We start from the raw sequence: 22,581 nt of genomic DNA, 5'->3' as shown, positions 1-22,581 counted from the left end.
TAAATAAATAAATATAACACAATGACAACAATAATACATACATATACACCCACACTCACACACACACTCTTACCCTAGGAATCTCTGAAATAGTGGACAGCCAACAACTGATCATATGGAAAGAAGTTTGAGTGCTACTGTCACCTCTTTCCTACAAAGGGATCTACATGTGTACAGAACTTTATTTATAAAGCTATTCATACACAGGATCAAGCAGCCTGAGCTAGGTTACTTTGCTGCTACAGAAAAAAAAAAAAATTCAGTGACATATAATGATATATAAAAACAGAAGCTATTTCCTGCTCACATTACTCTCCCACACTAGAGTGTTGTTGAAAGGATAAGGGATTAGGAGCCTTGGGACCAGTGTTTCCACCAGTAGCCATGTGTCCTGGATCAAGGCACTTAACTTCTCTGAACTATAAAATAATAATATTGTGCCAGATAATCTCTAAGACCTTTTCCAACACTGCAATTTGGAAACAAAGAAAAATCACCAAATTACAAGATCACTTTTCAAATGGGCACAGAACCACAATTTGGCTGCTTCAATTATTTTGGTCATCTCCATGATCAATAATGTTCCCAGCAGGCTAATAAATTATACCACTAGCTGTGTGGATCATTAAGGTGACTATGACACTCTGGCTAACTGTGCATGTTCCATTCCAGCCTCTGTGTTCAGCCAAGGCGAAAAGGTAAAATGTTCAAGTGCCTTTAACTAGGGGTCCTTTTTCTCACCTTGTAGTTTTTATCCATTTTATTTGTCAAATGGAAATAAATAATGAGGCCACAGGAGTAAAAGAGAGCTAAGAATATGGAGTCAGTAGTCTTAAAAAATTCAACAGATATTTATTTAAAACTTCCTAACTGGTAGACACTGTACTAGGTATAGGAAGAACAAACTGAGTAAGATCCTTATTCTGCCCCTCAGGTACTCACAAGCTACAATGTAAATCAGTAAAGAAAGAGATAACTATACCAGAATATGGTAAGTGTTATAATAAAGAAATTCCCTCCTCAACTGGTCTCTTTCAGTCTTGCGTCTTTCCAAATAGATGATTCTTTCCTTTCTTTCCTTCTTTTTTTTTTTTTTTTTTGTGAGAAGCAGTTTCACTCTTTTTACCCAGGCTGGAGTGCAATGGCACGATTTCGGCTCACTGCAACGTCCGCCTCCTGGGCTCAAGAGATTCTGCTGCCTCAGCCTTCCGAGTAGCTGGGATTAGAGGCATGCATCACCATGCCTCGCTAATTTTTGTATTTTTAATAGAGATGGCTTTCACCTTGTTGACCAGGCTGGTCTTGAACTCCTGGCCTCAGGTGATCTGCCCACCTCGGCCTCCCAAAGTGCTAGGATTACAGATGTGAGCCACGGCGCCTGGCCCTTACAGCTGATTCTTGAACTTTACCTTCTAATGAACTCCAAACTTATATAACCAAATGACTGATTGCATAGTATCTCCACTCAGATGTCTAAAAGATCTCTCAAACTCAACATCCCTCCAAAATAGAGCTCTTGATTTTTCACTCCCAAGATAAGCTCCACCCTAAGATTTGCCATCTCTCTAAATAACATCTCCATCTACCCAGTTGTTCAAGTCCCTCAGAGTCATCTTTGATTCAACGTTTCCTTCACTGCTCACATCTAATTTTCATTCTCCCACTGGTTTTGCTTCCACTTCCTATTCCGAATCTATTCACAACTTCCCATGTTCACAACAACAACCCTAGCCCATGCTCATAGTTCCTCTATTCTGGTTCATTACGACAGTGTCCTAACTGCTTCCATTCTTCCTTCCCTTCTTTACCTAACAGGCAGTCATCTTTTTAAAATGGCATTCAGGTTTCTTAGCCCCTTTCATAAAAACCTGCAACGGCTTCATATTGAAGTTAGACTAAAATCCAAATTAGCATGTGTTGGGCCCTGCCTATTTCTTCACATTCTCATTTTGCAGATGCCACCTTGCTCACTGTGATCTAGGTTCAAGGCTTTCTTGCTGATATTTGACCAGGTCAAGCTTGTTCTTCTCACAAGATTTTTGCAGTTGCTATCAGGTTGGGGCAAACGTAATTGGGCTGTTTGCCATTTAAAAGTAATGCCATTGGTTTTAAAAGTAATGTAGAAATAACATTACTGGGGCCGGGCGCGGTGGCTCACGCCTGTAATCCCAGCACTTTGGGAGGCCGAGGTAGGTGGATCACGAGGTCAGGAGATCGAGACCATTCTGGCTAACACGGTGAAACCCCATCTCCACTAAAAATACAAAAAATTAGCCAGGCATGGTGGCAGGCGCCTGTAGTCCCAGCTGCTTGGGAGGCTGAGGAAGGAAAATGATGTGAACCTGGGAGGCGGAGCTCGCAGTGAGTCAAGATCGCGCCACTGCACTCCAGCCTGGCGGAGCAAGACTCCGTCTCAAAAAAAAAAAAAAAAAAAAAGAAATAACATTTTGCTATCTATATTGGCGTTCATTACTCTCGAAATGATGACTCAATAACTGGTGCTTCCATTTGTTATGACCTCCTGAATTAGTCCTTTTATTTTCACAGAATTTAGAACACAGGTAAGTTGAATCACTGACTATTAAAAAACACAGAACTCTAGGAGAAAATATTTGCAAAAGACTTATCTGTAAAGCACTGTAAAGTTTCTCAAAATATGCGAAAAAAACCCCTTAAAATTAACAATAAGAAAATGAACAACACAAATGGGCAAAAGATCTGAACAGACACCTCACCAAAGGTGATATACAAAATGACAAGCATATGAAAAGACGCTCAAAAACTACAATCATGTTTGCACCAACCTAATAGTTTCTCTAATAGAATTCATCCTCCAGAACATTTCTATGGCTGCTTCCTTCTTATAATTATGATCTCAGCTCAAATGGTACCTGCTTTTTTTTTTTTTTTTTTTTTTTTTTTTTTTTGAGACGGAGCTTCGCTTTTGTTGCCCAGGCTAGAGTGCAATGGCGTGATCTCCGCTCACTGCAACCTCCGCCTCCCAGATTCAAGCGATTCTCCTGCCTCAGCCTCCCTAGTAGCTGGGATTACAAGCATATGCCACCACACCCAGCTAATTTTGTATTTTTAGTAGAGACGGGGTTTCTCCATGTTGGTCAGGCTGGTCTCGAACTCCCGATCTCAGGTGATCTGCCCGCCTCGGCCTCCCAAAGTGCTGGGATTACAGGCATGAGCCGCCGCACCCGGCCTGTACCTGCTCTTAAAGAGTTTTTCTTGAAACTCAATCTAAAGTAATCCCAACTCCCATCAAATCATTATCTATCCCCATAGTCAGCAAACTAGAGCCAGCAAGTGAAATCTGTCCCTGGACTCTTTGTGTAAATAAAGTTTTATTGGAGCACAGCCATACCCTTTTGTTTACACACTGTCTGTGGCTGCATTCATGTTGCAACTATGGGTTGAATAGTTGTGACAGAGACTCTATGGCTTGTAAAGCCTAAAATATTTACTATGTGGCTTTAATAGAAAAACATTGCCAAGCACTGCCATCTCTGTCACCCTGTTTATCTGTCTTCTCCTCTTCCTCCTTCTTCACTGCTAACACTGTATGAGATTATCTTGCTTATTTATTTGTTTTCTTGTTTATTGTCTCTTAGCCTTCCCTAGACTGTAAACTCTATGATGTTAAAATGGACATCTTGGTCACCGTTCTATCTCCAATGCCCATACAGAGTCTGGCATGTGGGAGCTAATCAATAAATAACGGGTGACTAAATGAATGATTAATCCTATTTGTCAAATCCTGCTTGTATGTTATTGTAATTGGTATAATCCTAGTACAAGAAAAGTTTGGATCTGGTTATCTCTAGAAACAGCAAAACTGAGCATTTTTCATTGTTATATCACTTAAAGGACTTAATGCCAAGCCTTCTCCATAATAAACTTTCAAAAAAAAGTTGCTGAATAAAAATAGTATAGGGCAAGAAGGGTGGAGGAAAAGAGGGGTTCAGAGCAAGACCCTATAAACTCACTTTACCTTTGCCATCTTACTTTTCAGGAGCCTATTGATAGGACTCACAAGATTCAAGGTGCCTTGTCCAAACAGATGTTCATTGCTCTTTGACACACCTTAAATAAGAGTTCTGTAGTTAAACAACTTTGGAAAAAGAGGTGTACTCTCACCCTCCCCCATCATAATGAACATCAGCATGAAGGCTCTAAGAAGACCCACAGCAAAGAAGCCGGTTCAGTTATTTTTAATCTGACTCTTCACAAACTTATTTTACACCAGGTAACTTTCAAATCTTCACAGAACTAATGTTTTGTGAAATTTACTTTGAAAAACATCGTGCTAGAAATAACATTATTTTGCTATCTATATTGGCTGTTCATTTCTCTTAAAATGATGAATTAATAACTGATGCTTCCATTTGTTATGACCTCATGAATTAGTCCTTTTACTTTCTCAGAATTTAGAACACAGGTAAGTTGAATCACTGACTACTAAAAAACACAGAAATCTAGGAGAAAATATTCGCAAAAGACATATAAGCACTGTTACTTAAAATATGCAAAAAACCCTTAAAACTATACAATAGGAGGCCAGTTGTGGTGGCTCACGCCTGTAATCCCAGCACTTTGGGAGGCCAAGGGGTGTGGATCACGAGGTCAGGAGTTCGAGACCAACCTGACCAACATGGTGAAACCTCGTCTCTACTAAAAATACAAAAATTTGCTGGGTGTGGTGGCGGGTGCCTGTAATCCCAGCTACTCGGGAGGCTGAGGCAGGAGAATCACTTGAACCCGGGAGGCAAAGGTTGCAGTGAACCAAGATTGTGCCATTGCACTCCAGCCTGGGCGACAAGAGCAAGACTCCGTCTCAAAAAAAAAACCAAAAAAAAAAACAACAAAAAAAACCTAAACAATAAGAAAATGAACAACACAAATGGGCAAAAGATCTAAATAGACACCTCACCAATGGTGATATACAAATGACACACATATGAAAACATGCTCAACTTCATGTATCATTAAGAAACTGCAAATTAAAACAACAATGAGATACCACTATACACCGACACCAAGATCTGGTGAGGATGTGGAGTAATATGAATTCTCATTCATTGCTGGTGGGAATGCAAATGGTACAATTTCTCACAAACCTAAACATATTCTTACTATACGATACAGATATTATGCTCCTGGGTATTTAATCAAAGTAGTTGAAAACTTATGTCCATACAAAAACCCACATACAAAGGTTTATACTAGTTTTATTCATAATTGCCAATTTTTAAGGCAACCAAAGTGTCCTTCAGTAGATGAAGAGACTTTTTTAAAAAGCTGTAGTACATCCATACAAAGGAATATCATTCATCTATTTTTTTTTAATGAGCTAGCAAGCCAAAAAAGACATGAAGTGATGCATGTTGCTAAGTGAAAGAAGCCAGTCTGAAAAGGCTACATCCTGTATGATTCTAATAATATAACATTCTGGAGAAGGCAAAACTATAGAGATGGTAAAAAGATCAGTGGTTGCCAGGGCCTTGGGAGGAGAGAGGGAGAGATAATAGGTGGAGTAAAAGGGATTTTTAGGACAGTAAAACTGTTTTGTATAATTTTGTAATAGTGGATCTGCGACATTAAATACTTGACAAAACTCCTGTGTGTTTAGAACATTAGTGAGCCCTAATGCAAACTATGGACTTCAGCTAATAATAATGTATAGTACTGGCTCATCCATTGTAACAGGTGTACCACACTAATGCAAGATGTTAATAATAGGGGAAACTGAGGGTGGGGAGAAAGGGGAAATGTATACGAAAATTGCACCTTCTGCTCAATTTTCTGTACAAATAAAATGGTGCTAAATAATGCAGTCTATTACAGAACACACACAAACACACAATTTTTAAAAATGGCAGAACCCCAGGCCGGGTGCAGTGGCTTACGCCTGTAATCCCTGCACTTTGGGAGGGCGAGGTGGGTGGATCACTTGAGGTCAGGAGTTCGAGACAAGCCTGGCCAACGTGGGGAAACCCCATCTCTATTAAAAATACAAAAATTAACTGGGCATAGTGGCACACACCTGTAATACTTGGGAGGCTGAGGCAGGAGAATTGCTTGAACCCAGGAGGCGGAGGTTGCCTTGAGCTGAGATCGCGCCACAGCACTCCAGCCTGGGCGACAGAGCGAGACTCGGTCTCAAAAAAAAGGCAGAACCCCAAAATGCTGAAGACCTACTTGTCTATTGGAGGAAATGTAGGAGCGGAGGGCAAGTGGAGAGAAAGAACTGTGTACTTGAACTAAACTTGAAGACGTGCCTTAGCAGTACTGGGGGACCAATATCTTAGCCTCTGAAGTGGGCACACCCAAGCTTTAGTCTTGACTCTATCACATCCCTGCTGTGCTACCATGGACATGTTTTGGAACCTCTCTCCCAGATTTAGTTTCCTCCTTTTAAAAATGGCAATAATAAAAGCACTTTTCAAGGGCTTCTGTAAGAATCAAGTCGGATAATGCATGTAAAGCAGGCAGCATAGTGTCTGGCACATTATAGGATGTCGATATTTAAATACTATTATTAGTTATCTGGTCAAATCACTTAAACATTTTAAACCTGTTAATAGGTAAGAATAAAAGAAAATAAGTACACAAAGTACTATGTAAATTGCTTTATCTTGACTCCAGGGTACCGTCTAGGTGATGCTTCTGATTACTGCCCTGACAGTTTGTCTGTTAGAATCAGATGATTCTCTTGACCTTGGGCCTCTTTATCAGCAGCACTTACAATTTGCACTTTTGTCAAGAGGACTATTCCTTTCCATAATCAGCCAAGTCCTGCCAGTTTGTAAATGACTCGCTGGGAACAAGTTAGGTCCTTTTGCAAACTACATCAACTCTTCCAGACCACACTGGTATTCACTAATAAAATATTTCCACAGTGAACTAAAGAGTGTCTTTGTAGCTTGGGTCAGTTACCATCACATTTCATACTTATTCCTACAGAGTAAATAATTTGTATATTTGGAAAATACAGCATTATTTTATACCATTGATAATCAGTACCGAGTTAGAAAAGTTCCCTTTTCTACAAATGCATGCCCAGCTTTCTTCCATTACAGTATGTTACTTATTTTATTAAAATAACTTAAATTCAGGGCCAGGCACAGTGGTTCATGCCTGTAATCCCAGCACTTTGGGAGGCCAAGGCGGGTGGATCACAAGTTCAGAAGATTGAGACCATCTTGGCCAACATCGTGAAGCCCCGTCTCTACTAAAATACAAAAATTAGCCAGGCATGGTGGCACATGCCTGTAATCCCAGCTGCTTGGGAGGCTGAGGCAGGGGAATCACTTGAACCCAGGAGGCAGAGGTTGCAGTGAGCTGAGATCGCACCACTGCACTCTAGCCTGGGTGACAGAGCAAGACTCCGTCTCAAAAAAATAAATAAATAAAAATAAAAAATAAATTAAATTCAGAATAATCATCCTTGTCTGTGATCAAATTTGTCAGTTATCAACAACTTGTTATTTCTGAAAGAAAAATTCAAATAAAAAATAAAACCTGATTTCAGAAACACCTAGCCTTAAGCACACAATTGCCATTAATTGCACAATCCATGTGACTGATTTCCTGCCTCTAGTGAAATAGGAAGAATACATTCATTGAAGTAGGAGGGGAACAAAGGGCAGGAAGGCCCATAAGGTTCAGAAAGGAGGACACTTTAAGGAAGATAGAAACGAGAAATCTATAAAACAGGATTTGTTTAGGTTTTTAGGTTTTTTTGGTTTTGTTTTGTTTTTTTGAGACAGGGTCTCCCTGGGTAGGCTGGAGCGCAGTGGTGCAATCATAGCTCACTCCAGCCTCCAACTCCTGGCTCAAGGGATCCTCCTGCCTCAGCCTCATAAATAGCTGAGATTACAGGCACCATCATGCCTGGCTAATAAAAAAACGGTTTTAAATCTAGCAATAGACCATAATATGTAGGTTTAATGACTGTGTCCTATCGCCTTAGAACTACATATTTATAATGGTGGTTTAGAGAGAACTTCTGAGCCAAACAAACTTTACGGAAAAGATTTTTTGTATTAATGTGGCTGAATCTTTTGAGATCGATAACTAAGCAACACAAATCAAATTAATTAAAACATTCGATAAATACAAAGTTTGCTCTAAACAAAAATGAGAGGACTGGTCTGTAATTACATCTGTGCCATTTTTAAACACTAAGCATCCTTTCTCCCAACCTTACCATAATCATGAAAATTCTCAGCCCTTTAAAAAATATTTTTTATTTAGAAAATCGTATGCAGTAGTTTTCTATTGGGATCAGCTTAGTCACTCCATCGAAAACAACTAATTAACTTCCTATGTCACTGATTATAAATAGCATCCCAAACTAATCATTATCATCTACTTTCAAACTTGCAATCTTATTTCCTCTTCCATGACATGAAAGATTTCATTGGAAATGTGTAAGCCTTATCGTGGACTCTGAGTCATTTATCACCAAGAAGTATGGCTTATGTGATCAACCAGCCTGAATAAGCATTGGATTCATCACAGGAAGTAGGTACGGACTTTCTTCCCTTTGACTTACCATTATCTAATGAGGTAGGAAAAAGACAAATTCTTCAAAAAGTAAAAAGCTAGACAGAAATATTCCAAATAACTTTTTTTTTTTTTTGAGACAGTCTCGCTCTGTCGCCCAGGCTGGAGTGCAGTAGTGCAATTTCGGCTCACTGCAAGCTCCGCCTCCTGGGTTCACGCCATTCTCCTGCCTCAGCCTCCCAAGTAGCTGGGACTACAGGCGCCCGCCACCACACCCGGCTAATTTTTTGTATTTTTAGTAGACATGGGGTTTCACTGCATTAGCCAGGATGGTCTCGATCTCCTGACCTCGTGATCCACCTGCCTCGGCCTCCCAAAGTGCTGGGATTACAGGTTTGAGCCACCGCGCCTAGGCAACATTTCTTTATATAAGATTTAGGTCATATTGTCTCTTTAAATGATTCTGATTGAGGATGGATGCGGTGGCTCACACTAGTAATCCCAGCACTTTTGGAGGCTAAGGTGGGCAGATTGCCTGATATTAGGAGTTTGAGACCAGCCTGGCCAACATGGAGAAACCCCGTCTCTACTAAAAATACAAAAATTAGCTGGGCGTGGTGGTGGGCACCTGTAATCCCAGCTACTCAGAAGGCAGAGGCAGGAGAATCACTTGAACCTGGGAGGCAGAGGTGACAGTGAGCCAAGATCATGCCACTGCACTCCAGCCTGGGTGACAGAGTGAGATTCTGTCTCAAAAAAAAGAAAAAGAAAAGATTCAGACTGATATAGTCTACAATATATGAGTATCATATAAAACATTTGAAAACCAATGATAAAAATAAATTTATTCAAATTCTTAACCTATTTGCCTAAGGAAAGTGCAAAAATTGAGAGGACATTCCTAATGATTATACATCCATTGCCTTAACAATGAAAACTACAAACAGTATTTAAGAACTAATATTGAGAGTTATATCTTAGCTTTTACCTCAGCCTACTCTTGGTACAGACGGACAAATGTATGTGCCATTGTCCCATTGTTTATCTTTTAAATATTAGAGCACAGCATCCAGGATGATTTAATTGTTATAGCCACCCTTCTTGGACAAATGCTATGGCTACTGAACAGAAGAATCCAGTGAGTACCTTATGAAGTAAGTCTAAATAGAAAAAATTTGGGGAGAGTCGTTGGCTTCTAAAAGAAGAAGTAGGCCATGGGCAGTGGCTCATGCCTGTAATCCCAGCACTTTCTGAGGCCGAGGTGGGCGGATCATGAGGTCAAGAGATTGAGACCATCCTGGCCAACATGGTGAAACCCCCTCTCTACTAAAAATACAAAAATTAGCTGGGCGTGGTGGTGCACACCTGTAGTCCCAGCTTCTTGGGAGGCTGAGGCAGGAGAATCGCTTGAACCTGGGAGGCAGGGGTTGCAGCGAGCCAAGATTGCGCTACTGCATTCCAGCCTGGCAGCAGAGCGAGACTCCATCTCAAAAAATAAATAAATAAATAGAGAAGTAAATGAATGCAAGAAAGTAGAGCCCAAAGTTCTGAAAATCGATAGGCTCAGAGAAGTAAAAAGGTCCAGGAACCCAGTTGGATAAACAAAGCCCAAAGTCATAGTAAACAATAAAAGACATGAAAGAAAAAAAAAATCCGGTAATAAAGTATTAAGTTAGCAAACAGAGTTATTTGGTCCAACCCAGATTTTTGCATCACAGCAGTTTCTCACCATATTGCCATGGAACTCCTGAAATTGAGTGCCTAATATATGTCAGGCCCTGGGGAATGGAGGTAATCAAGACAAAATCCTTGCCCACATGGAATCTATATTCTAGTCATAAAAAACAGATAAGCAAAGGAAATAAATAAATAATATGATTTTAGGAAATGAAACATGCTATGAAGAAAATAAGACAAAGTAAAAGATAGAGTGATGGTAGGTAAGTAGAATTAGAGGAGTGTGGAAATGTCAAGCAGTATTAAAAAACAAACTTCTGGCCGGGTGCGGTGGCTCATGCCTGTAATCCCAGCACTTTGGGAGGCTGAGGCAGGCAGATCATGAGGTCAGGAGATCAAGATCATCCTGGCTAACACAGTGAAACCCCGTCTCTACTAAAAATACAAAAAAAAAAATTAGCCAGGCGTGGTGGTGGGCACCTGTAGTCCCAGCTGCTGGGGAGGCTGAAGCAGGAGAATGGCATGAACCCGGGAGGCGGAGCTTGCAGTGAGCCGAGATCGCGCCACTGCACTCCAGCCTGGGCGACAGAGCAAGACTCCGTCTCAAAAAAATAAAAATAAAAAGTAAAAAATAAACTTCCATCAACCATTCAGTGCTCCTTCCCATAGGGACAGTAGAATGGCAAGGTCAGGGTTCCCCACCAGTGGTATGTGAGACAATTCTAAATGGTTTATAGATAAACGTTTTAGAATTTAAATTAAACAGTCATGTATATACTTTGTTGTTATCTCTTTTTACTAGCAAGATATACTATGTTTCTACTTAAGATAATAATAACAAAAAATAAGTTTACTTAAACACAAAACAGGGATTTAAAGAAAATTATTAAGTAAGTAATAATGCAGGTAATATGCAGAAACGGGAAAATCATGAAAGTAGAGCAAGGGTAGCTGAATAAATCAATTGAGTTAATTGCATTAATTATAATTAATATCACCAAATTGGAATCTACTGCCAGTCTTGGTACCCCAACAGGAATGCCCTTCTCTTTCTTCAGTTCAAGAGAAAGATGAAGAAAATGTTGACATTCACTAATTGAAAGGAGCTAATGCTTTTTCATGGACTCGAAAAATTCATTCAAAACTCATTGTACTCTCTTTAAAAGTTGCATGATTCAACTCAAATCTCACTTCCCTACTAAGCTGTTCATCCACACCTTCACTTCCACAGCTTTGCCTTGGACAACCACGGTCATTGTCTTATTCAACTAAACTATAAGTTCTTCAAGGGTAGTGATCAAATCTTACATTATTATATATTTATTTTATGCCTTGGCACAGTGTTAATCCTAGAATCTAAGTTAAATGAATATTTGCTAAGTGAACAAATTGATTAACATAATTTTATGTTTTTGAACTCTGTTTCAGTGATTTTGCAGAGCTGGGATAATATCCCTTATCACTAATCAGTGTCACTTTTGGAAAAGCACTAATATATAAGTGCATTAGTGCTGTAAAAGAAAAAAAGAAGTACAAAAAAAAGCTATGAATATTCTAGTTAAATGTTTTAGATGGGAATAGGCTCACAAGAAGTGAAGTAGAAGTTGGTCAGTAGAATTTAACCCTGAACTGAGTCTTTAAAGAAAGTTTTAGCCAGCAGATAGAATACTGATACCTGAGGTCAGGCAATAGATAATTTAAGAACACTCTTCGCCGGGCACTCACGCCTGTAATCCCAGCACTTTGGGAGGCCGAGGTGGGCGGATCACAAGGTCAGGAGATCAAGACCATCCTGGCTAACACAGTGAAACCCTGTCTCTACTAAAAAAAAAAAAAATTAGCCGGGTGTGGTGGCGGGTGCCTGTAGTCCCAGCTACTCGGGAGGCTGAGGTGGGAGAATGGTGTGAACCCAGGAGGTGGAGCTTGCAGTGAGCTGAGATTGCACCACTGCACTCCAGCCTGGGCAACAGAGCGAGACACCATCTCAAAAAAAAAAAAAAAAAAGAACAACATTCTTCATCCCAAAGGTCAATATGTTGTAATGGCGTGTCCCACTAAAATGAGCCCAATAACTGGTGGCAGCGCCCTAGTAACGATGATAAAAATATTACTACTATATTTTCCAATAGTAGTAATAACCACAAACCTTTAGGGAGTATCTTACTAATCTTAAACTGATAGCAGGTAAGCTTTCTCCTAAGGTTTTTACATGCATAATTTAATTTAAAGCTCATAATAACCTTATGAGACAAGTACTGCTATGATCCTAATTTGTGGAAGCACATAGAAATTAAATAACTTGCCAAGGTCAAATAGCTGGTGAGTAGAATAAACAGGATTTGAACCTAATTCCTCTTGTTCACAGTCACCATAGCACAGAGATTAACTTACCAGAACTTGGTACAACGTAAGGCTTGGAAATAAGGCAGAAATCCACACATCAGACTCCCAAATGTTCCTCCAGACGTAAGTTAGAAACTAGCCCTAGAGTCTTAGACGAAGCTAATTAGACATTGGTGAAGGTAAGACCACAATGACTGAGAACCACAGAGGTCTTAAGCCATGTAGGGCATAAAATGCTGAAAAAGTCACTTCAGGGACTACCAATAAGTGCTGCTACTTTCAGAAATAGTGTATACAAACTTAAAACATTCAGCCATCAGAATGAGTAAAAGCAAATCAGGAGTTTCCTCATCAAAGTCAAGAATAAGACACAAATTACTACAATCATGATCCTTAATTAACACTGTTTTGGAAGTATTAGCCAAAGCAAGTAGGCAAGAAAACAAAACAACAGCGAATAAAAAAAAAAAAAGAGGTATGCATATAAGAAGCAGGGAGGTATAGAATTTGCCATGTTAAGAAACTGTATGATTATATACCAGATTTGTGTAGACTGAAGTCACCTGAGGCTACCTAATTTCAACATCTCATTTGTCTCCGACTCTACATTTGCAGAGTCTGAGGTGATCCCTAGTTGACCTGTACCAAAGCAGCCATGCACATGCTTTGTGATAACTAGGGGTGATCCCTGGTCTCTAGCCAGCCTAAATAAAAAGAACATGCTGTACAGTCAGTCTCTAATCTAAATGAAATATAATTACATCTGAAAAGGCAATCTGCCATTTGAGTAGCTCATTCATCAAAACAATATTTGCTAAAAGCAATTCATCCTTTACCATATTACCCAAAAGAAGTTTTCCTGTTTCACTATTTACTTTTAATTACAGACTTTAATATGCAAATGTAGAAACATGGGCAGCTTTATTAGTCACATTTCTAGCTCAAAATTATTATATTCCTGAGTTTTAGTCTAGTAATAATTCTAAAATTAGATTGCTTAATAACAATAATGAATGTGTCTTTCTTCTAAATACAGGTTAGTAATCTTAAACCGATAGCAGGCTAAATTAAGAGTTGCAGAGCATTGTAAATTTTGAAGCTGTCCCCAAGCAATCATACCAAACAAATCTAATCTATCTTCCTCAGGATGGGATATTCCTTCCTCTTGACCTAGACCTTCCTTTTCCAGGATGCTGATTTGCACTGATAGCAGCCAGTTTTAATGCCTTGAGCTGGCCAACAGAGGACTGTGGGTAGAAGCGAACTGACCTCTTTCTGCAGAGCATCCTGTACGTCAAACTATTGTACTCCACAGTGTTTGTGTGTGTGTGTGTGTATATATGTGTGTATGTGTCTGGGACTTGGTGCATTGCCTGAGTTGAGAAAAAGCTTCTTTCATCCAACTACCTGCAGGTTACCAGCTGGAATAGCAGACAGAAGCCAAAACTGAACTTACGTCAGATCAAGAGAAGGAAAGAAAATGTTGGCACCCAGCTGGTTAAAAGAGAAGGGGAGAATAAACACCTTTTCATGGGCTCTGGAAAGAAAAATATATTCAAAACTCACCATATGATTGAAATGGAAGGGTAACAGTAGATTATTTTCAAAGAAACTACATTTCTGTTTGTTTGTTACATGTATTGAGGCATATATGTTTACAAATAGAAATATACTCCAGTCTTCCCAGGTGTGAAGGGAATGCATAAGGCAGGCTTTGTGCACCTTCACAAGACAAAGTTGCTGTCAACATGAGAATCTTAATCCAGTGCTCCCTGATGAACTTGGCACAAAATCACAGCTCCATGAGATTTGGCTTCCTGATACTGAGAAAGGGAAGGGCTGAGCCTAGGAAAGATCAGGGTCACTACATATGGGTTCCACATAATATACTCTTAAACTTGGAAGGTGAGCCTCCACCTATGTGGGAAAGTTCACGGAGATTTTGGAGAATTGCTGTGTAAGGTTTTACATTTAACAAAGCCTCTTCAGGCAGCAAGAGGCAATGATGACAGCAATAAACTTGGAGTCCAGGAATCTGAATCTGAGGCTGAGATCTACCATTCAGTAGCCGCTGGCTTTGGACAAGTTATCTTCTTGGGTGTATATTTCCTCCTATATATGTAGCATATGAGGAAGAATCCTGCCCTGTCTACCTCAATGGTTTTGTAAGGATTGCATGACAGGAAGTACCGAAAAATATTTTTCAAACAAGAAAACATTGTGTAAACACAAAATGCTGCTGCTACTACTGCTGCTGTTATTATTGTTGTTGTTACGAGTTTACTAGCTTTCAAATTACTTTTCCTACACTTTCCATACTAAATATTTGTGGACTATATAGTACACATTTCAATTAGAACTTGTCAATGGGCTAACATAAGTATTTGGGAATTTCACCCTCTGCAAGGGAGGTATATAAGGTTTAGTCCTGGAGCTTTCAATAACTAAATGTGTGACTTCGGCTGTGATATAAATGAGAATTTTATAAAATGAGAATTTTATTTCTCTGTAAAATAAGAATTTTAAATTAGATAATTTCTAGAGTCCCTTACAGTTTAAATATTCTCTGGTTTCTATCCACTGTTTGTCCACACCACCTCCAACTTGCCCTTGCTCTCACTGTCACTTTGCTTCTGATCTCATACCTCTCCACGTTGCGGTCTAGAACCATGCTTTCTTTTTCATTTTTTCTCTTGTGTCTGACCCAAGGCTTAGGTGTTAGTCAAAGGATATATTTACTGCAAGAAGTATGAATCAAAACCATGATACATTAGCAAATTCTCCCCAGCAGGCAATGAAAATCCTTGCTTTTATGTGTGTAGAAAGGGTTGGAGTTCACAGAGGTGGGTTCAGACAGAAATCTGGGAAAATCTGGGAAATAGGAATGCTAAAGTATATTCTTAATTTTATTATTATTATTATTATTTTAGAGACAAAGTCTGGTCTCAAACTCCTGAGCTCTATCTCAGGCTTTCAAAGTGTTGTGATTACAGGCTTGAGCCACTGCGCCTGGTCAACTCTTAGGTAAATACCTCATATACATGTATTTATTGCTTTACACCTGCCTGATTTTATCATATATAATAGAAAGAACATTAGCTTCCATTTTGGCTCAGCCATTTTATCTGGGGAAAGTCATTCAACTAGTTCATCTAACATATATTATTTATTAAAAAATATGTGCTGACCAATGCTCTAGTCAGTAAAGATATAATGGTAGATAAAAACAGGTGTGGTTCGCGCCCTTGTGGAGCTTGCAGTCTAAATGAAATTATAGTCTTCAATTAAAGAATCACACAAGTAGGTATAAGTTTACATCTGTGATAAGTGCTACAAAAAAGAATAGCAGGGTGCTGTCAGGGCTCAGAAAACAATACCACCAAATGAAGGCCTCAGCAGCAGCCTCAGAAGCAAAAGTTTTCATCCTACCTTCCCCTGTTCTCCTGTCTCTCAGTCCCATTCTCCCCCAAGGCTGGCCACAGAAACTAGAATCCCTCTTCCCCAAGGTGTGTCATGCAAACCAGAACATCCTTTCCCAAAGCCAGCCAGAAATCTAAAATGTGTTCCATGTAACAGAATCATTAATCGATCTGCCTGATGTAAGTGATTTTTTTAGCAAAACTTTAGGTGTCCATGGGCCTTGGCCCCCACAGTGCTAAAACAGTGACTAATACAGGGGAACTGCCCTGGTCAAGAGGCACAGGGAAACCTTATCTACAGACGTGGTGGCTGAACTGACATCTGAAAAGAAAGTAGGAGTCATCCAGGCAAAGAACAAACAGGGTGGCAGGAAGGGCGTTCCAGTTAGAAGGAACAGCAAGTGCAAAATTTTATTGCAGTTTAGTTAAATAAACTAAGCATGTCAGGGATGTTGGGGTGAAGAGCATGAGAAGACCATGTGAACTGAGGCGAGAGAGGCAGACCAATTACAACTGGCTTTGTGGACCATGTTAAAGATTCTGGTCTTTCCCTGAAAAGCAGAGGAAAGTCACTTAAGTGTTATAAATTGATGGTAGCGTAACCAAATTCGTATTTTGACCAGATCCTTTGGCTGCTGTGTAAAGAAGAAATTCAAGGCCGGGTGTGGTGGCTCACGCCTGTAATCTCAGCACTTTGGGAGGCTGAGTCGGGCAGATCACTAGGTCAGGAGTTCAAGACTAGACTGGTGAACATGGTGAAACCCCATCTCTACTAAAAATACAAAAATTAGCCTGGCGTGGTGGTGGGCACATTTAATCCCAGCTACTCGGGAGGCTGAGGCAGGAGAATCGCTTGAACCCAGGAGGCGGAGGTTGCAGTGAGCCGAGATCATACCATTGCACTCCAGCCTGGGCAACAAGAGCAGAATTCCATCTCAAAAAAAAAAAAAAGAATAAATTCAAGAAAGTCAAGCGTGGATTCCAAGAGACTAAGATCGGAGCTTAGGGCAGGTTCCTGTGTTGCCCACTGCAAAATACTCACGCACAATTTTGGATGAGTTGAGTCCTAGGCACTTTTGAGATCCAAATTAAGATACTAAGTAGGGAGGCAGTTGGATATATAAGTCTAAAGCTGAGAAGGGAAGTCAGGGCTGACAGTAAACTTTTGAGCTAGAATTTATAAATTAACTGTGAGGCATGGCCTAGAATGAGATTATCTAATGAGAGAATGAAGAGGAAGAATAACTAATCTCAGAGCCTCTGTCTCTTCAGCTGTAAACTAGCAATTGTAGTAGCTGTTTTACAAAATTTTTGTAGCTGAGATGTAGAAGCACTCAACAAAAATTCCGATATTATTATTGTATTAGGAGGAAAAAAAATAAAAATTAGCCAGTCACAAAGCTATTTATAGTATGATCCAATTTTTTTTATTTTAAAAAAGTATCTTCAGGCATAAAAAATAGACCAGGCTACACTTACAACTTACCAATAATTATTGTCAGATTAGAGCAATTTAAATTTCTCCTTTGTGTACATCAGTAATTTGTAAACTTTCTGCAATGAACGTGATTCTTTATATAGTGAAAAAATACAATGTTTTGCTTTTTCAATTATATGAAAGTACTTTTCCAAGGATTGAGCCAAAGATGATGAAATGAGCTGAAACAACAGCTTATGTGAATGGCCAGGGTTTAGCACACATGGTAGAGTGGCTTTGTTTGAAGCCAGTTTGTGTTTCCAGGTCTCTGTCATAGAGACCGAGAGATGAACTTTTGGGAACTGGACAAAAGAACTGTTTTGGTCTAAGGTGACCTGTCTGGAATTGCATGGCACATGCGGCCCGAGAACCACTGGCCTTGCCAAACCTTTTGTATATCATTCTCCACAAAGAATCATCACAACACACAGGTCCTTAGAGGCCTGGAAAATCCATGCCTAATTGCCACACACGCAACACACACACACACACACACACACACGTGTGCTGCTTTTACAGCAAAGGCTAAAATCTGCTTGATTCCTCCTAAATAATCTGTAAGTTTGTGATAAGCTTCATCCTTATTTGCATGGTTAGGGTAAGAGTGCTGGCAGGGAACATGGCTCAGAGCTCTCAAGAACATGATGTCTGTCTCCCTGCTTGAGTTCCCTGGCCTTCGGCATAAGGCAGGAAGGGCCGGCTTGCTGCCACATCAAGGATGCCTGGCTCATGGGTAGAGACTCTGTGTAGTGTGGTAGAAGGAGCTCAGTTCTGGAAGTCAGGAAACCTAGATCCTGGCCCCAACTTTGCACAAATCAGCTGAGCTGTGTGACACTGACCAAGTCCTGTGACCTCTCTTTGTTTTAGGGTCTTTGTTTGTTTTCCATCTGTAAAATAAAAAATATTTCCAACAAAAGATCCCATGAAATGCACAGGCTGAATCTATATGATGACCAGAGCAGAAATATAACACATGAGGCTTGGCACAGTGGCTCAAGCCTGTAAGCCCAGCACTTTGGGAGGCCGAGGCAGGCGGATCACGAGGTCAGGAGATCGAGACCATCCTGGCTAACGCGGTGAAATCCAATCTCTACTAAAAATACAAAAAAAATTAGCTGGGCGTGGTGGCGTGTGCCTGTAGTCCCAGCTACTCCAGAGGCTGAGGCAGGAGAATGGCATGAACCCGGGAGGTGGAGCTTGCAGTGAGCAGAGATCACACCATTGCACTCTAGCCTGGGCAACAGAGTGAGACTCCAACTCCAAAAAAAAGAAAAAGGAAAGAAAGAAGGAAAGGAAAGGAAAGGAAAGGAAAGGAAAGGAAAGGAAGAAAGAAAAAGAAAGAAAGAAAGAAAGAAAGAAAGAAAGAAAGAAAGAAAGAAAGAAAGAGAGGGAAAGAAGGAAGGAAAGAAAGAAAACACATGAATTTGAATGTTTTTAGACAGGTTAACAGTGGCCCTCTACTAAAAATACTACCTCCCACACCACCTAAATCTCCACCTTCTAGCCATCCTCCTTCCAACCACCACACCACCACTCCCCACAAAATCCCTTGCTCCACTTTCTATAGAACCCTTATAACTATCAGAAATGATAGTTATTCCTGGAATAAAGAGTGCAAGTCTCATCTTGGCTCACCTACTAACTAAACGTAACAAAATCCCTGTGAACCTCAGCATGCACATCCATAAAATAGAGAAAGCAATAGTGCTTACCCCATCCCATTACTGGGTATATACCCAAAGGATTATGAATCATGCTTCTATAAAGACACATGCACACTATGTTTATTGCGGCACTATTCACAATAGCAAAGACTTGGAACCAACCCAAATGTCCAACAATGATAGACTGGATTAAGAAAATGTGGCACATATACACGATGGAATACTATGCAGCCATAAAAATTGATGAGTTCATATCCTTTGTAGGGACATGGATGAAACTGGAAGCCATCATTCTCAGCAAACTATCACAAGGACAAAAAACCAAACACCGCATGTTCTCACTCATAGGTGGGAATTGAATAATGAGAACACTTGGCCACAGGAAGGGGAACATCACACACCGGGGCCTATTGTGGGGTCAGCGGAGGGGAGAGGGATAGCATTAGGAGATACACCTAATGTAAATTACGAGTTAATGGGTGCAGCAAGCCAACATTTTTCATATATATATATATATATATATATATATATATATATATATATATATGAAAAAAAGAAAGCAATAGTGCTTACCTCACAGGAATGGAATAGCTTAAAAGTGGGGTGAGGAGGGCCAGGCACGGTGGCTCACGCTTGTAATCCCAGCTCTTTTGGAGGCCAAGGTGGGTGGGTCACCTGAGGTCAGGAGTTCGAGACAAGCCTGGTCAACAGGGTGAAACCTTGTACCTACTAAAAACACAAAAATTAGCTGGGCATGGAGGTAGGTGCCTGTAATCCCAGCTACTTGGGAGGATGAGGCGGGAGAATCACTTAAACCCAGGAGGCGGAGGTTGCAGTGAGCTGAAATCATGCCAGTGCACTCCAGCCTGGACAACAAGAGCAAAACTCTGCCTCAAAAAAGAAAAAGTGGGGTAAGGAGGTTTCTTAATGCAAGGGCATCAAGGATAGCAGATTATATGGTTTGGCTATATATTTGGTTAAATATGTAACCATAAATATATGACCTCAGGTGATCCTCCCATCTTGGCCTCCCAAAGTGCTGGTATTACAGGCATGAGCCACCACACCCAGCTGCCTTCCCACAATTTGCCGACCTAGAAGCTCTATATGGTTTGGCTATATATAGATTTGTCCCCACCCAAATCTCATCTTGAATTGTAGCTTCCATAATTCCCACGTGTCATGGGAGGTACCCGATGGGAAGTAATTGAATCATGGGGGCAGGTCTTTCCCATGCTGTTCTCATGATAGTGAATAAGTCTCATGGGATCTGATGGTTTTATAAAAGGGAGTTCCCCTGCACAAGCTTTTCTTGACTGCCACCATGTAAGATGTAACTCTGTTCCTCATTCACCTTCCACCATGATTGTGAGGGCTCCCCAACCATGTGGAACTGTGAGCCAATTAAACCTCTTTCCTTTATAAATGACCCAGTCTTGGGTAGGTCTTTATTAGCAGCATGAGAACAGACTAATACAGCAGAATATGCTGCTTCAAAATATGCCACTTTTGCATAAGGATTATTTTGAATCATAGGCAATTGAGAAGAAGGAGATACAAGAAAAGCTCTCTGTGTACCCTGGTGTGCCTAAAAGTAGGTTATAAATTTGTAAAGGTGTCCTTCCTCCCCTCTCTACTAAGAGGGATAGAAGTTAATCAGTTAATCACTGGTGACAACTCTAAACAGATGGAACCGGCCGGGCATGGTGGCTCACGCCTGTAATCCCAGATTTTAGGGAGGCCGAGGCAGGCGGATCATGAGGTCAGGAGATCAAGACCATCCTGGCTAATATGGTGAAGCCCGGTCTCTACTAAAAATACAAAAAATTAGCTGGGCGAGGTGGCGGGCGCCTGTAGTCTCAGCTACTCGGGAGGCTGAGGCAGGAGAATGGCGTGAACCCGGAGATGGAGCTTGCAGTGAGCCAAGACTGCGTCACTGCACTCCAGCCTGGGTGACAGAGCGAGACTCCGTCTCAAAAAAAATAAAAAATAAATAAACAGATGGAACCAATGAAATCTACATGACAAACCTTACTAAAAAGCTCTTATCTACTACTAGTTTTCCCACATATTTGCCTTCCCACAATTTTTTTTTTTTTTTTTTGAGATGGAGTCTTGCTCTGTTGCCTAGGCTGGAGTGCAGTGGTGCAATCTCAGCTCACTGCAACCTCTGCCTCCCAGGTTCAAGTGATTCTCCTGCCTCAGCCTCCCGAGCAGCTGGGGTTACAGATGCCCAACACCATGCCCCGGTAATTCTTATATTTTTAGTAGAGATGGGGTTTCACTATGTTGGCCAGGCTGGGCTCGAACCCCTGACCTCAGGTGATCCTCCCACCTCGGCCTCCCAAAGTGCTGGGATTACAGGCATGAGCCACCGCACCTGGCTGCCTTCCCACAATTTGCCTCCCTAGAAGCTCAAAATCTTTTTCCTTTGTCTTGTTACTGCTGTCAAATATAATTTTCTTTTGTAAAGATGCTATATAAGTGCAAATTCTAACCACTTTTTTTTTTGGTAGAGACAGGGTCTCTCTTTGTTGTCTAACCTGGTTTTGAGCTCCTAGCTTCAAGCAGTTCTCCCACCGTGGCTTCCCAAATTGCTGGGATTACAGGCATGAACTACTGTGCCTGGCCTCTAGTCACATTTTTACTTAATCATCACTGAGTTCTCCCATATACAAATGTGATGCATGTGTTTGTTAATAAACTTCAGGTTCTCTTGTTAATTTTTTTTTGAGACGGAGTCTAGCTCTGTCACCCAGGCTGGAGTGCAATGGTGTGATCTCGGCTCACTGCAACCTCCAGCTCCCAGGTTCACCTCCAACTGGCAGGTTCAAGCAATTCTCCCGCCTCAGCCTCCTGAGTAGCTGGGATTACAGGGGTGCGCCACCATGCCCAGCTAATTTTTGTATTTTTAGTAAAGACATGGTTTCACCATGTTGGTCAGGCTGATCTCGAACTCCTGACCTCGTGATCTGCCTGCCTCGGCCTCCCAAAGTGCTGGGATTATAAGAGTGAGCCACCATGCCCAGGCAGTTTCTCCTGTTAATTTTCTTTTATCAGTCTAGTTTACAGAATCCCAGCCTATGATGAGTTATATATATATATGTGCCAGGCACAGTGGCTCATGCTCATAATCCCAGCACTTTGGGAGGTTGAGGTGGGCAGATCAGTTGAGACCATGAGTTTGAGACCAGCCTGGGCAACATGGTGAAACCCTGTCTCTACTAAAAATACAAAAACTAGCTGGGCATGATGGCACACACTTGTAATCTCAGCTACTCAGGTGGCTGAAGCATGAGAATGGCTTGAATCCAGGAGGCGGAGGTTGCAGTGAGCAAAGATCATACCACTGCCCTCCAGCCAGGGCAACAGCGTGAGACTCTATCTCAAATTAAAAAAAAAGAAGAAGAAGCTGGGCGTGGTGGCTCATGCCTGTAATCCCAACATTTTGTGAGGCTGAGATGGGTGGATCACTTGAGGTCAGGAG

At 40.9% G+C, this 22,581-nt stretch overlaps 1 long non-coding RNA gene across 1 annotated transcript in view, besides 1 other annotated feature; it reads right to left on the bottom strand.

The window, feature by feature from the left end:
* Nucleotides 1-22,581, bottom strand: part of LOC105379133 (uncharacterized) — a 49,950-nt gene that overhangs the window by 11,415 nt on the left and 15,954 nt on the right. The window lies entirely within an intron of this gene.
* Nucleotides 17,967-18,204: a silencer, noted in NCBI's record as "fragment chr5:116120461-116120698 (GRCh37/hg19 assembly coordinates)". NCBI's record gives its function as "represses an EF-1alpha promoter that drives an FKBP-Casp9 reporter gene in an ReSE screen in K562 erythroleukemia cells {active_cell/tissue: K562}" and the evidence as "EXISTENCE:reporter gene assay evidence [ECO:0000049][PMID:32094911]".

The sequence above is a fragment of the Homo sapiens genome, chromosome 5, assembly GCF_000001405.40.
Source record: "Homo sapiens chromosome 5, GRCh38.p14 Primary Assembly".
Classification (NCBI taxonomy): domain Eukaryota; kingdom Metazoa; phylum Chordata; class Mammalia; order Primates; family Hominidae; genus Homo; species Homo sapiens.
Note: the sequence above shows the minus strand (reverse complement) of the source record. Positions and strands in the feature narration are given on the sequence as shown.